Here is a 13,748-nt window from a genome sequence, read left to right on the forward strand (position 1 = left end):
GTGCCCCCCCCCACTTCCTGCATCAGAGCAAGAGGGGGTTCCATGGGCTCATCGGCTCCCATTTGATAACTGAAGAACAGGCCACAGCCAGGCATGGAGGAGCCCACGGTACTGGGCTGTGCGGCCTCCACATGCCCTACACTGATCTCCCTGCCATGCCAGAGGCTGTCACCCCAGAGCACCAGCTGTCACCTTTGTGGCCCTGGGGTTGTGGTTCACAAAATGCCATTCACTTAGGATTGGAGCTGCTGTCTCTGTTTTACTGATGTGGAAACAGGTTCAAAGGTGCAATGACTTGAACCAGGCATGGTGACGCATGCCTGTTATCCCAGCTGCTCAGAAGGTCGAGACAGGAGGCTCACTGTAGTCCAGACATTTGAGACCAGCCTGAGCAAAATTGCAAGACCTCATCTCTAAAAAAAAAATTAGGCCAGGTGCAGTGGCTCACGCCTCTAATCCTAGCACTTTTGGGAGGCTGAGACAGGTGGATCACCTGAGGTCAGGAATTTGAGACCAGCTTGGCCAACATGGCAAAACATCGTCTCTACTGAAAATACGAAAATTAGCCAGGCGTGGTGGCATGCAGCTGTAATCCCAGCTACTCAGAAGGCTGAGGCAGGAGAATCATTCGAACCTGGGAGGTGGAGGTTGCAGTGAGCCAAGGTCGTGCCACTGCACTCCAGCCTGAGCCACAGAGCGAGATTCCGTCTCAAAAAAATAAATAAATAAGCCAGGCATGGTGGCACCTGTCTGTAGTCCCAGCGGTCGGGAGGCTGAGGCGGGAGGATCGCTTGAGCCCAGGAGCTCAAGGCTGCAGTGAGCTATGATTGCACCACTGCACTCCAGCCTGGGCAACAGAGCAAGATCCCATCTGTAAAATCATAATAAAAAGAGACAGATTGAATGCTTGGCTAGGTAGGTGGAATCCAGGCCAGGGTTGATCTGACACCATTCTCAAAGTTCTAATTCTTCCTCCTCTTGGAAGGAGGATCAGATATCCCCAGTCAAGATCTTGCTGCTTGTCCGGGAGGAGTAGTTTGGGCCTGGGACCAGAGGGGGACGGTAGGGCCACCTCATTCATGGCTGTGGAAAGCAGAGGCACTTTGGCCTTGGTGAGCCCCTTTCTCTGTTAAACCTATTTTACAACATGTTGGTATAAAGATGAATATATTAATGTATACTAGAGGATTTTCTCTCACCTAAAGGTTCATTTTTTTCCCTTCTGATTTTAAAAGAAATTAAAAATGTATGTCAGCTCTTATAGTGTGGGCCCAGGGCACTGTGCCTAATGGTAAGTTGGTCCAGGGTAAAAAGGGTAGTGAGGTCTCTCTAGAAGACCCCAGTGTTGGCCGGGTACAGTGGCTCAGGCCTGTCATCCCAGCACTTTGGGAGGCTGAGGCGGGAGGATCACAAGGTCAGGAGTTCGAGACCAGCCTGGCCAACGTGGTGAAACCCCCTCTACTAAAAATACAAAAATTAGCTGGGCATGGTGGTGTGCACCTACAATTCCAGCTAACTTGGGAGGCTGAGGCAGGAGAATTGCTTGAACCCGGAAGGCAGAGGTTGCAGTGAGCCGAGATCACGCCACTGTACTCCAGCCTGGCGACAGAGCAAGACTCCGTCTCAAAAAATATATATAAAAACAAAACCATGAGATGCCACACTACACCCATTACGATGGCTATACTAAAACAAAAAGCAGTGTTGGAGAGGATGTCGAGAAATGGGACCCTCATCCACTGCTACTGGGAATGTAAAATGCAGCCACTTTGGCAAACAGAACCTCAGAAAGCAGCATTAGCATATGACCACAGTTCCACTCCTAGGTACATTCTCAAGAGAATTGAAAATGTGCCCACAGAAGCCTGCGCACGGATGCTCATGGCAGCATTATTTACAGTAGCCCCACAGTGGAAAAAAACAAATTCTGCATCCACTGATGAATGAAAGTGTGATACGTTCACAGGATGGAATATTACTCAACTGTGAAAAGGAATGAAGCAATCACAGTCGAGGAGGAACCTTGAAAAAGTAACAAAAGCCAGACACAAAAGGTCACATGTTGTGTGACTGCATCCTATGAAATGTCCATTACGGGCAAAACCATGGAAACAAGAAGTAGCTTAGTCGTCACTGGGGACGGGAGAATGGAGAGTTACCGTTTAATGGGTGTAGTGTTTCGTTTTGGGGAAGTAAGAAGGTTCTGGAATTGGTGATGGTTGCACAACCTTGTTGATATACTAAAAGCTGTTGGGCGCTGTGGCTCATGCCTGTAATCTGGGCACTTTGGGAGGCTGAGGCAGGAGGATCCCTTGAGCCAGGAGTTCAAGACCAGGCTGGGCAACACAGTGAGACCCTGTCTCTACAAGAAATATATTTTTATTATATTTTTTTTGAGACAGAGTCTCACTCTGTCATCCACGCTGTAGTGCGGTGGTGCGATCTCAGCTCACTGCAACCTCCGCCTCCCGGGTTCAAGTCATTCTCCTGCCTCAGCCTCCCGAGTACTTGGGATTACAAGCACGTTCCACCACACCCGGCTAATTTTTGTAATTTTAGTCGAGACAGGGTTTCACCATGTTCGCCAGGCTGGTCTCGAACTCATGACCTCAAGTGACCTGCCCACCTCGGCCTCCCAAAGTGCTGGGATTACCGCCGTAAGTCACTACACCCAGCCTCAAAAACTATATTTTTAAAAATTAGCAGCTGGGCGCAGTGGCTCATGCCTGTAATCCCAGCACTTTGGGAGGCCAAGGCAGGTAGATCGCGAGGTCAGGCGTTCGAGACCAGCCTGGCCAAGTTGGTGAAACCTCATCTCTACTAAAAATACAAAAATTAGCTGGGCATGGTGGTAGGTGCCTGTAGTCCCAGCTACTAGGGAGGCTGAGGCAGAAGAATTGCTTGAACCCAGGAGGTGGAGGTTGCAGTGAGCAGAGATCACGCCATTGCACTCCAGCCTGGGCGACAGGGTGAGACTCCATGTCTCAAAAAAAAAAAAAAATAGCCAGGCACGGTGGCTCACGCCTGTAATCCCAATACTTTAGGAGGCCAAGGCAGGAGATTTGCTTGATCCTCCCAGGAGTTAGAGATCAGCCTGGGCAACATAGCAAGATCCTGTTTCTATAAAAAATACATTTTTAAAAATTGGCCAGCCGGGCGCAGTGGCTCACACCTGCAATCCCAGCGCTTTGGGAGGCTGAGGTGGGTGGATCACCTGAGGTCAGGAGTTCGAGACCAGCCTCACCAACGTGGAGAAACCCTATCTCTACTAAAAATACAAAATTAGACAGGTGTGGTGGCACATGCCTGTAATCCCAGCTACTCAGGAGGCTGAGGCAGGAGAATCACTTGAACCCAGGAGGTGGAGGTTGCGGTGAGCCAAGATCGAGCCATTGTACTCCAGCCTGGGCAACAAGAGTGAAAACTCCGTTTCAAAAAAAACAAAAAAAAAATTGGCGGGGGTGCCAGGCACGGTGGCACATGCCTGTAATCCCAGCACTTTGGGAGGCCAAGGCGGGTGGATCACTTGAGATCAGGAATTTGAGACCAGCCAAGCCAACATGGTGAAACCCCGTCCCTACTAAAAATACAAAAATTAGCTGGCCGTGGGGCACATGCCTGTAATCCCAGCTACTTGGGAGGCTGAGGCAGGAGAATCGCTTGAACCCAGGAGGCGGAGGTTGCAGTGAGCCCAGATCACGCCACTGCACTCCAGCCTGGACAACAAAGGAGACTCCATCTTAAAAAAAAATTAATTAAATAAATTTTAAAAATTAGCCGGAGCATGGTGTTGTGTGCCTGTGGTTCCAGCTACTGGGAAGGCTGAGGTGGGAGGATTAACTGAACCTGGGAGTTTGAGGCTCCAGTTAGCTGTGAACTGACCTCCCTGGGTGACATATATATATTTAAGCCACTGAGCTGTGAAGGTTGTGAAGGTATGTGAGTTATGTCTTGAAAAATACACACATAGTGAGCGCCAAATCCCGGGAGTAGTGTTTAAGTGGCGGGCTTGTCAGCTGTCAAGGGCTCTGCAGCCCTTTCTCTGAATCCAAGTTCTTCTTCCTGTGGACAGGGAACCCAGGCTGCGAACTGGGAGGATGTGGCCTCGTGGGGGGCAGGGCCAGCGTGCTGTGATGGGGATGGGGCTGGGCAGGTTGGGGCTGCCTGCTACTCCCCACTCCTGACTCTGGGTGGGGACAGAAGGCAGAGGGAGGCTCCTGGCACCTGGGGCACAGGAATCTCAGGCATGTGGTCCTGAGCCTGTTTCCAAAAGCCAGACCCTCCTCCCCAGGGCGGAGAGACTGGGAGGGGCCCCAATCCAGGCTCCGGGATGGCCTGGCTGGCATCTGGGGTTCCAGTGGCCCCTCTCCCTTGGCCCTGGCAGTGGGGCTGGATACTGGCCTGCCTCCCACCAGAGTCCCCCCAGCTCCTCCCTGCTGTGGGCTGGCCTGGGAGGAAGGGGGTGGGGTGCACTTACATTTGCAGGTCTTTCCAGCCCCTGGGGCAGCCTGATTAACCAGCTTCTCCAGGGCCAAGCTGTTGGGGGTGAGGTGCAGCCCGAAGCAGCCAGACCAGCCCCTGAGCCTCCCGGGTGCTGGCAGCTGTCATGGGGCTACCCTGGGGGCAGCCTCACCTAGGGCTGCAGATGCTCCTCCTGGCGTTGAACTGTCTCCGGCCCAGCCTGAGCCTGGGTGAGTGGGGGTCCTGGATGGACGCGTCCAGCCAGACCCAAGGGGCTGGGGGCCCTGCTGGAGTGATTGGACCCTGGGCGCCCGCCCCCCTCCGATTGGGAGAGGCAGCCCCAGGGACCCCCACGCCCGTCTCCGTGGCTCACCTTTTGTCCCCCGTGGCCACAGAGCTGGTGCCCTACACACCACAGATAACAGCTTGGGACCTGGAAGGGAAGGTCACAGCCACCACCTTCTCCCTGGAGCAGCCGCGCTGTGTCTTCGATGGGCTTGCCAGCGCCAGCGATACCGTCTGGCTCGTGGTGGCCTTCAGCAATGGTACGGGGACTGCTGTGGGGCCTGGGTGAGGGTGACGGCTGAGGAGAGTGGTGGGCCCTAGGAGCCCCTCACCAGCAAGCGCCTTCAATGATTGAGCCCCTGTGGGGGCCTTTGGGAGAGTAGGTGTGGATGAATTGGGCTTTATCTAAAGGGGTAATATGTGTATTGAAAAATACACACGTAGTGAACACCAAATCCCGGGAGTAGTGCTAGTGGTGGGTTTGTCAGCTGTCAAGGGCTCTGCAACCCTTTCTCTGAATCCAAGTAGTTCTTCCTTTGGACAGGGAACCGAGGCTGCGACCTGGGAGGATGTGGCCTCCTGTGGGGCAGGGCCGGTGCACTGCAATGGGGCTGGGGCTGGGGCTGGGCAGGTTGGGACTGCCCGCTGCTCCCCACTCCTGGCTCTGGGTGGGGACAAAAGGCCAGAGGGAAGCTCCCCTTCAGGGGTAACAAAGTCGACTGGGTCTGGACTATCTCTGGGGGCCCTGAGGGAGGAGGTGGCATGGGGGGTCAGGGCTGGAGACTGGGCGAACACAGAACCCCCACTCATAAGGACAAAGCTGCTTTCTCCCCTCCCACCTCCATCTGTTCTCTCCTCCTGCAGCCTCCAGGGGCTTCCAGAACCCGGAGACACTGGCTGACATTCCGGCCTCCCCACAGCTGCTGACCGATGGCCACTACATGACGCTGCCCCTGTCTCCGGACCAGCTGCCCTGTGGCGACCCCATGGCGGGCAGCGGAGGCGCCCCCGTGCTGCGGGTGGGCCATGACCACGGCTGCCACCAGCAGCCCTTCTGCAACGCGCCCCTCCCTGGCCCTGGACCCTATCGGTGGGTGGTCCCCACCGGAGCCCTGGGACTGGGGCTGTGCTTGGGGCGGACGCATTGCTGGGACCAGGGATGCTCTCTCTAGCATCTTTCCAGGGAGGGGTCCCCGGCCCCGGTCCTCCCCTTTGCAAGCCCGGGCTCCTTCCACTGTAGAGTCAGCAACAGTGCTCACCCCCGCTGGGGCCGGGCAAGGCCCAGGAGGAGCAGGTGGGCACCTTGGGGAGGCGGGATCTTAGTCAAGGTGGGAGGGGGCAGCTTCCCCAAAGTCTAGGCCCCTGTCCCCCACCACGGGCAGATCTGGCAGGAAACTCGGGGGCCGAGTTCAGACCCAGTCTCGTCGGTATTAGGCAGGGAGCAGGAGAGGTGGCTCCTACCCGCTCTTACAGATGAGGAAACTGAGGCACAGGAGGTCAAGTGGCCTGCCAACATCGGGGTGGAGCCGGGATGGGGAAGCAGGCAGTGTGTCCAGGTCAGGACTGTCCGGACACAGGAGGAGGCGGGGTGACCTCAGGAAGACCAGGCCCAGGGGAAGCCGGGAAGGCAGGGCGTGGTGAGGCTGGAACAGCACCCCGCTCCGCCCAGCCCCCTTCTGCCCTCTCACCCACTCTCCAGGTCCACCCTCTGCCCTCCCCGCTGCCTCACCCTGGCTCAGCCTTCCAGCTCCATGCCCCGCCCCATCCCCCGCAGCCACTCTTTTCAATGCCAACCTGCCAGGTCCTTCCCCGCTTCCCAGGCCTTGCAGAGCTCCCAGCCCTGCAAAGAGACAAACCGAGGCCCTCTGCGGGGCTCCTGGTGCCCTGGGTCCTCAGGCTGCTGGTGATTGAGCCCCCTGCCCCCGGCTACTGCTGCCCCTCTGGGAGGCCTGTGACCCCTGCCCCATGTGCCCTGCTAAGCCACCTTCACCTGCTCTTTTGGCTTGTGACATTTAGGAACCAGGGCCCCTAAACCAGCATCCCCGGCCCAGGTCTGGTGTCTGGAGAGCAATTGCTCGGGGGGATGAGGGGTGGTGGCACAGGCCAAGTGGCTGGAGACATCTCAGGGGATTCTCAGAGCAGGGCCAGGCCATGGGCTGCTGCTCTTGACGGGCACCCCCACTCCACATCCATGGGAGGGCCCCAGAGGAGCTGCCTGGGGCTTGGCCCTGCCCAGGGTGGTCCCAGCCTCTGAAGCTCTCCCCTCCTCCCCCACCACCTCCCATCCCCAGGGTGAAGTTCCTCCTGATGGACACCAGGGGCTCACCCAGGGCTGAGACCAAGTGGTCAGACCCCATCACTCTCCACCAAGGTAGCGCTGGGCAGGAGGGGCGCTGCCCCCAGTGGACTCACGATCTCTCTGGGCCGCCTCTGCTGAGCTGGCCACACCCCTGCTCCCACAGGGCTGGGGGCCTGGAGGCCATGTCCAAGTCGGGCCCAGCCCCCAACAGAACCTCATGCTGGGGGAGTGGGGCACCCAGCCAGCCCCCTCGGCAGGGGCACCATCTCGGCCCATCCGCAAGCGTTTGCCACATTGTGGGCACAGACAGCCTCCCCCCTCCTGTAGGGAGTCAGCCTGTGTCAGCCCCTGCTGGGAGGGAGGAAGAGGGTGTGGAGGAGGTCAGGGTCAGGGTCGGGGCTGGCTGGGGAGGCAGCCAGCTTGAGTTCTGAGCAGACCCCAAGGGGCAAGCGTGAATGTACCAAGCCCAGAAGTTTCGAGTGCCACGGCCCAGGTGTCGGGGGTGGGGGTCTCCTGGGAGACGGCTTCAGAGGTCAGGGGGTGTGGGGTGGAAGTCTTGTCATCTGAAGGCCTTGACTGCTGGGCTCCAGGGAGCAGGGCAGTGGATGAGCACGTGGGTGGGAGCAGCCTAGAAGGTAGGAGCAGGGCGGAGGCTGTGGTCCAGGCTGGCAGAGAACAGATGCTGTGCCGTCCCGAGGAAGAGGGACGGGGGGTGGGATCAGGGGGGCGCCTGGGGATATGAGACAGCCAGACCTTGAAGCTAGGCCAGCGTGGGTGGGGAGGGAGCGAGGGAGGAGATGACAGCCAGCCCTGGGGTCGAGGGGCAGCCCCTCTGAGCAGCTGGTGTGTGTGCAGGGAAGACCCCCGGATCCATCGACACCTGGCCAGGGCGGCGAAGTGGCAGCATGATCGTCATTACCTCCATCCTCTCTTCTCTGGCCGGCCTCCTACTCTTGGCCTTCTTGGCAGCCTCTACCATGCGCTTGTGAGTGGGGACACCCCCTCGGGCCCCTCTCCCACCCAGAACCCCTCTGTTGAATTGGTCCCAGTGTCTGGAAGCCCTCCAGGCATGCCATGGGGTTTATTTTATTTTTGGTAGAGACAGGGACTTGCTATGTTGCCCAGGCTGGTCTGGAACTGCTGGGCTCAAGCGATCCTCCCGTCTCGGCCTCCCAAAGTATTAGGATTACAGGTGTGAGCCACCTTGCCGAGCCCCGTGGTTTCGAGCTGGGCAGCGCCCCTCCCAGGGCCTGTGCAGGGAACTCCCACCCTGAGTATCTCGCACCTCAGGGGTCATTGATGGGGCCAGCAGCCCCTCTGAGGACAGGTTCGGGAGGTCCCGCCTCACTCGGGCCCTGTCTTTTCAGTGTGTCCTCAGCCAAGGCCCTTCTCCTCCCGGGCCTCACCTGCTGTCTGTGGATCCTCTGGTGGTTTAGTAAGCTGACGCCAGGGTAGTCAGGGTGGCCACCTGGAGAGGTGGTCCTCCAATTGGTTCTAGAAGGGAGGAAGGAGGGATCAGAGACTGCAGGTGAGGCCGGGTGCAGTGGCACATGCCTGTAATCCTAGCACTTTGGGAGGCCGAGGTGGGAGGATCACTGGAGGCCAAAAGTTCAAGACCAGCCTGAGCAACATGGTGAAACCCCATCTCCACTAAAAATGCAAAAATTGTCCGGGTGTGGTGGCAGGCACCTGTAATCCCAGCTACTCGGGAGGCTGAGGCAGGAGAATCGTTTGAACCCGGGTGGCGAAGGTTACAGTGAGCTTAGATCACACCACCGCACTCCAGCCTGGGTGACAGAGCCAGACTCCATCTCAAAAAAAAAAAAAAAAAAAGAAAAGAGAGAGAGAGAGACTACACATGAGGGAGCTGGGAGGGAGGAGAGCAGGCCTTGACCCAGCACGTGCCCCATGTGGCAGGGACATATGTCTCTTCCTCCTCCTCTCCCCGCCCAGCTCCAGCCTGTGGTGGCCGGAGGAGGCCCCGGAGCAGCTGCGGATCGGCTCCTTCATGGGCAAGCGCTACATGACCCACCACATCCCACCCAGAGAGGCCGCCACACTGCCGGTGGGCTGCAAGCCTGGCCTGGACCCCCTCCCCAGCCTCAGCCCCTAGCCTGGCCTCTTTGCATGGGGCTGGGGGAGATGGGGCGCTGGGAGTGAGTGCATGGTGCTTTGTCCCAGCTCCTGCACCCACAGGCCCCCTCAGGGCTCCTTGCCTTTCCCCCCCACCAGCACACCCCGTACCCTGCCTGGAATCCCAGCACCAGCCCCCCTGCCTCTCCTCTGCCTTTCTGGTTTCTCTCCCTCTCCAAGCATCTGTAAGTTGCACTCAGGAGGGTTTAGGGGAGGGCCATGGGCAGGCTGGATACCCAGTCCCCACCTCCATCCCCACCTCTGTCTCACCTGACCTCCTGCGAGGGAGGCTGGAGACTGTGTGGACAGGCCGCCCTGACCGCAAGCTTCCAGACCCTGGGAGGAGGCCTGCAGAGGACTGTGCTTTGCCTGATGCAGGGAGCTGGGCCCATCCTGGGGCCTATGAGACCTGAGCCACCCTCCGTCCCCCATCCCACACATCAGTGGCTGGGCGGGGTGAGGATTCAGAGGCATCTCTACTGCCCCTGGGCACAGCACCTTTCTGAGAGTGGGACTCTCCATGGTCATCTGACTACCAATTCTGGCCACCACCTCCAACCCTCTTGTGCATATGGATGGCTCTAGCCCTTATCCACCCCCTCAAGCATTTATTAAGCATCTGCTGTATGCTACATACAGTGTTAGACTTGGGGCTTCAGGCATAGCCGGTCCTGACCTTGGGGAGATGCCTTCTCTAGACCTGAGACGACCACGTGTCCAGATGTGACCTGTTGCTGTCGGGGGTCTATCAGGCCCTTAGACCGTCACCCCAGTAGGCTCTCCAGGACCCAGGAGCCTCCATCACCTGGAAGGACCCTCTGTGCAAAACCTCAAGCGTCCATCTGTGCACAAGGCCGGTGGTTCCCGTCGTCGCCACTCGGGGTCGCCGGTGAGCCGCAGCCAGGCCGCCTCACGGCCAGTGTGCATGCTCGCTGCTATTCGCTGCCCCTTCTGCCTCCGAGGCGGTAGCAGATGCCACGTTGGCGGGGTCGGTGAAGGTCAGGACTCTAGGCCTCCCTCCGCCAAGCCAGAGGGATGAGCAATCACGCCTGAGAGCCCACTGCGTGCCATGCAGTCCGCACAGCCGCAGCGGTTTTCTAGATGGAGAAACTGAGGCTCAGTGACTTGCCCGCTGCACTCTGTCCACGGCCGCTGCACACGCCCCCTTGGGCTGCGCTCCCGGACCTTCTAATGTGACCACGGCTCCCGGCATGCAGGCCCTGCCAGCGGAGGGAGCCCGGTGGTGACCCTTGGTCTGCAGCCCTCTTTGGAGGTGAATAAATGCGGTCTGGAGCCCACCCTGGCCTGAATGGTGCCCCTGCTGGGACAGGAAATTTATGCCGGGAGCCCAGGGCCCTGCTCAGCTTCTGCCCCATGGGGTTACCCTGAGCCTGTCCCTTGATTGCTGTCCCGGCTTGTACTTTGAGGTGCCCCCATCTCCTAGGAAAATCCACACATGTGTTTCAGGGCCAGGTATGTGGTTTAGGTAGTGCTCCCTCCCAAGCAAGCCCTTGAGCCCCTCATCTCTGGAGGCTTCTCCTCCATGCTGCCTGCACCCCCACCAGCCACCAGAACCCCTTCAGGTATAGACAGAAACAGATTCAGTCAAATTCCTTGGTGTCCCAGGTGACGTCTGGCCAGGGGAGCCAGCCCCTTTAAGTTACACTATTGCATGGCTCACACCCGGAATCCTAGCACTTTGAGAGGCTCAGGCAGAAGGATTACTTGACCCCAGGAGTTCCAGACCAGCTGGGGCAACAACATAGTGAGACTCTATCTCTACTAAAAATGAAAAAAAAGATTAGCCAGGGGTGGTGGTGTGCACCTCTAGTCCCAGCTACTCGGGAGGCTGAGGCAGGAGGATCACCTGAGCCCAGGAGTTTAAGGCTGCAGTGAGCCGTGATCGTGCCACCGCACTCCAGCCTGGACAATAGAGTGAGACCCTGTCTTGAACGAACAGGCCAGGCGCAGTGGCTCACACCTGTAATCCCAGGACTTTGGGAGGCTGAGGTGGGCAGATCACTTAAGGTCAGGAGTTAGAGACCAGCCTGGCCAATGTGGCAAAACCCTGTCTCTACCAAAAATACAAAAATTAGCAGGGCATGGTGGTGGGGGCCTGGAATCCCAGCTACTCGGGAGGCTGAAGCAGGAGAATCACTTGAACCCAGAAGGTGGAGGTTGCAGTGAGCCAAGGTCTTGCCACTGCCCTCCAGTTTGGGTGACAGAGCAAGACTCCGTCTCCAAAACAAAACAAAACACACAAACAAACAAAAAAACCCCACCACGGTGGAGCCCAGGTCCCTCTGCCTGGAACTGAGAGAGAGTTAACAGACGGGCTTGGTGTCTCATGCCTGTAATCCCAACTTTGGGAGGCCAGGGCAGGCGGATTACTTGAGGTCAGGGGTTTGAGAGCAGCCTGGCCAACATGGTGAAACCCTGTCTCTGCTAAAAATACAAAAATTAGCCTGGTGTGGTGGTGGGTGCCTGTAATCTCAGCTACTTGGCAGGCTGAGGCAGGAGAATCACTTGAACCTGGGAAACGGAGGTTGCAGTGAGCCGAGATCGTGCCACTGCACTCCAGCTTGGACGACAGAGCGAGACTCCAACTCAAAAAAAAAAAAAAAAAAAAGATAGAGTTAAAAGACCACCTCCCTGTCAGTGACCCTTCAGCAGAGACTGTCTCACGCTGTTCTATCCAGACCCAAGACAGTTGGCTAGGGGCCCGGCCCCGGAGGGGTATGACAGGGAGAAGGAGGGGGCCGTTGGTGTTTGCTGTGTGAAAAGATGAATTAATCCTCCCAGGGTTCAAGGACCAGCTAGGAGCAGGATTGCCATGGCTTTTTTTTTTTTTTTTTAACGTGGAGTCTCACTCTGTTGCCCAGGCTGGAGTGCTGTGGCGTGATCTCTGCTCACCACAACCTCCACTTCCCAGGTTAAAGTGATTCTCGAGCCTTGGTCTCCTGAGTCGCTGGGATCACAGGTGCCTGCCACCACACCCAGCTAATTTTTGTACTTTCAATAGAGATGGGGTTTCGCCATGTTGGCCACAGGCTTTTGCATGTCCTGGGGCCCTTCTATGTTTGTTCTCACTGTCTGAATCCGTGCTGATGCCAGACGCAGCGCCAGGGACTTCCCATTCGAGCCTGCAGCTGCCCCTCCCTTCTGCACAGCCTCTCTGAGCCCACTGAGGAGCTGCCATCACCCTCAGGAGCCACCTGGAACTTGACTTTGGAAACACCCTCTAAACAGATCTTGGAACCTAGGGTGTAAAGACTGAATCATAGTCCAGGAGTCCAGGGGAGGCTACTGGCCCCCACTGAGAGCCAAGGGGGCTTCCTAGGGGTTCTTTCTTTCTTTTCTTTTTCTTTTTTCTTTTTTTTTTTTTTGAGACCGAGTTTTGTTCTTGTTGCCCAGGCTGGAGTGCAACAGTGCGATCTCAGGTCACTGCAACCTCTGCCTCCTGGGTTCAAGCAATTCTACTGCCTCAGCCTCTGGAGTAGCTGGGATTACAGGCGCCTGCCACTACACCCAGCTAATTTTTGTATTTTTAGTAGAGATGAAATTTCACCATGTTAGCCAGGCTGGTCTTGAACTCCTGACCTCAGGTGATCCATCTGCCTTGGCCTCCCAAAGTGCTGGGGTTACAGGTATGAGCCACCACGCCTGGTCCCTGGGGTTATTTCTGAGCTGACTCTTTTTTTCTTTTCTTTTCTTTTCTTTTGAGATCGAATCTTGCTCTGTTGCCCAGGCTGGAGTGCAGTGGCATGATCTTGGCTCACTGCAACCTCCACCTCCCGGGTTCAAGTGATTCTCCTGCCTGAGCCTCCCAAGTAGCTGGGATTACAGGCGCCTGCCATCATGCCTGGCTAATTTTTTTGTATTTTTAGTAGAGACAGGATTTCACCATGCTGGCCAGGCTGGTCTTAAATTCCTGAGTTCAACAGATCCTCCCACCTCAGCCTCCCAAAGTGCTGGGATTACAGGTGACAGCCACCATGCCCGGCCTTGAGCTGAATTTTGAAGGGCAAATGGAAGAAGGAGGCCGAGGCAGGAGGATCTCTTGAGCCTAAGAGTTCAAGACCAGCCTGGGCAACACAGCAAGACCCCATCTCTAAAAAGTTTTTTTAAAAAGAGGGAAGAAGGAGAGAGGAGGAGAGAGAGCTACTCAGAGAGACCAGGGGTGTATACGGTCCTGTTCTGCAGTGGCACCCATGGTGGCCAAGGGGTGGTAGCAGGGATTGTGGGCTGGGAAGAACCAGATCTGAACCAGGGCAGACACAGAGGATTGGAGAGGAAGAGTTGGATTCCAGAAATATGCAGGAGGTGGCCGCAGGAATTGGGAGATAAGGCAGATGGAAGAGGCCATGCCCAGTTTCTGATGTGGCCTGGGCGTGAATGCAAAAATTGGGGTCTTCTGTGCTTTGCAAGTGAGTGCACCACCACAGTTTGCTTTACGGCAAGGCCCCAGGAAAAGGGGTTCTGGGGATGTCATCTTAACGGCAGGTGTGTTCCACAAGAACATTAATACATCGTTAATATTTTTGAAAGACAAGACTGGGCATGGTGGCTC

General features: G+C 56.9%; 1 protein-coding gene and 1 long non-coding RNA gene across 2 annotated transcripts, besides 6 other annotated features; one reads left to right on the top strand and one right to left on the bottom strand.

The window, feature by feature from the left end:
* Positions 1–2,134: 2,134 nt before the first annotated feature.
* LOC124901675 (uncharacterized) lies at positions 2,135–4,687 on the bottom strand. The gene is made up of 2 exons (XR_007060388.1): positions 4,478–4,687; positions 2,135–4,062 (listed from the first exon to the last, which is right to left on the bottom strand). It is a non-coding gene; the product is annotated as an uncharacterized LOC124901675 (long non-coding RNA).
* Positions 2,888–3,093: a silencer, noted in NCBI's record as "fragment chr7:76138251-76138456 (GRCh37/hg19 assembly coordinates)". NCBI's record gives its function as "represses an EF-1alpha promoter that drives an FKBP-Casp9 reporter gene in an ReSE screen in phorbol 12-myristate 13-acetate-treated (for megakaryocytic differentiation) K562 erythroleukemia cells {active_cell/tissue: K562(+PMA)}" and the evidence as "EXISTENCE:reporter gene assay evidence [ECO:0000049][PMID:32094911]".
* Positions 3,971–4,543: an enhancer, noted in NCBI's record as "H3K27ac-H3K4me1 hESC enhancer chr7:76139334-76139906 (GRCh37/hg19 assembly coordinates)". NCBI's record gives its function as "activates a minimal SCP1, AML or CMV promoter by ChIP-STARR-seq in naive H9 embryonic stem cells {active_cell/tissue: H9 hESC(naive)}" and the evidence as "EXISTENCE:reporter gene assay evidence [ECO:0000049][PMID:30033119]".
* UPK3B (uroplakin 3B) lies at positions 4,506–10,476 on the top strand. Its single transcript, NM_001347684.2, has 6 exons — positions 4,506–4,691; positions 4,857–5,006; positions 5,611–5,836; positions 7,038–7,117; positions 7,901–8,030; positions 8,999–10,476. The coding sequence occupies exons 1-6, from the start codon at positions 4,607–4,609 to the stop codon at positions 9,156–9,158; spliced, it is 831 nt and encodes a 276-aa protein (NP_001334613.1). The 5' UTR covers positions 4,506–4,606; the 3' UTR covers positions 9,159–10,476.
* Positions 4,544–5,116: an enhancer, noted in NCBI's record as "H3K27ac-H3K4me1 hESC enhancer chr7:76139907-76140479 (GRCh37/hg19 assembly coordinates)". NCBI's record gives its function as "activates a minimal SCP1, AML or CMV promoter by ChIP-STARR-seq in naive H9 embryonic stem cells {active_cell/tissue: H9 hESC(naive)}" and the evidence as "EXISTENCE:reporter gene assay evidence [ECO:0000049][PMID:30033119]".
* Positions 5,870–6,521: an enhancer, noted in NCBI's record as "H3K27ac-H3K4me1 hESC enhancer chr7:76141233-76141884 (GRCh37/hg19 assembly coordinates)". NCBI's record gives its function as "activates a minimal SCP1, AML or CMV promoter by ChIP-STARR-seq in naive H9 embryonic stem cells {active_cell/tissue: H9 hESC(naive)}" and the evidence as "EXISTENCE:reporter gene assay evidence [ECO:0000049][PMID:30033119]".
* Positions 6,522–7,173: an enhancer, noted in NCBI's record as "H3K27ac-H3K4me1 hESC enhancer chr7:76141885-76142536 (GRCh37/hg19 assembly coordinates)". NCBI's record gives its function as "activates a minimal SCP1, AML or CMV promoter by ChIP-STARR-seq in naive and primed H9 embryonic stem cells {active_cell/tissue: H9 hESC(naive and primed)}" and the evidence as "EXISTENCE:reporter gene assay evidence [ECO:0000049][PMID:30033119]".
* Positions 7,174–7,823: an enhancer, noted in NCBI's record as "H3K27ac-H3K4me1 hESC enhancer chr7:76142537-76143186 (GRCh37/hg19 assembly coordinates)". NCBI's record gives its function as "activates a minimal SCP1, AML or CMV promoter by ChIP-STARR-seq in primed H9 embryonic stem cells {active_cell/tissue: H9 hESC(primed)}" and the evidence as "EXISTENCE:reporter gene assay evidence [ECO:0000049][PMID:30033119]".
* Positions 10,477–13,748: the final 3,272 nt, after the last annotated feature.

Source organism: Homo sapiens, chromosome 7 (genome assembly GCF_000001405.40).
Source record: "Homo sapiens chromosome 7, GRCh38.p14 Primary Assembly".
In the NCBI taxonomy this organism is placed as follows: domain Eukaryota; kingdom Metazoa; phylum Chordata; class Mammalia; order Primates; family Hominidae; genus Homo; species Homo sapiens.

What these genes read in the sequence shown, in the direction of transcription:
- UPK3B (NM_001347684.2), top strand. Translation starts at nt 4,607, where the DNA reads ATGGGGCTACCCTGGGGGCAGCCTCACCTAGGGCTGCAGATGCTCCTC. An exon ending in CCTGGCCCTGGACCCTATCG is followed by an intron (nt 5,837 to 7,037) that starts GTGGGTGGTCCC and finishes TCCCATCCCCAG; the next exon opens with GGTGAAGTTCCTCCTGATGG. An exon ending in GCAGCCTCTACCATGCGCTT is followed by an intron (nt 8,031 to 8,998) that starts GTGAGTGGGGAC and finishes CTCCCCGCCCAG; the next exon opens with CTCCAGCCTGTGGTGGCCGG.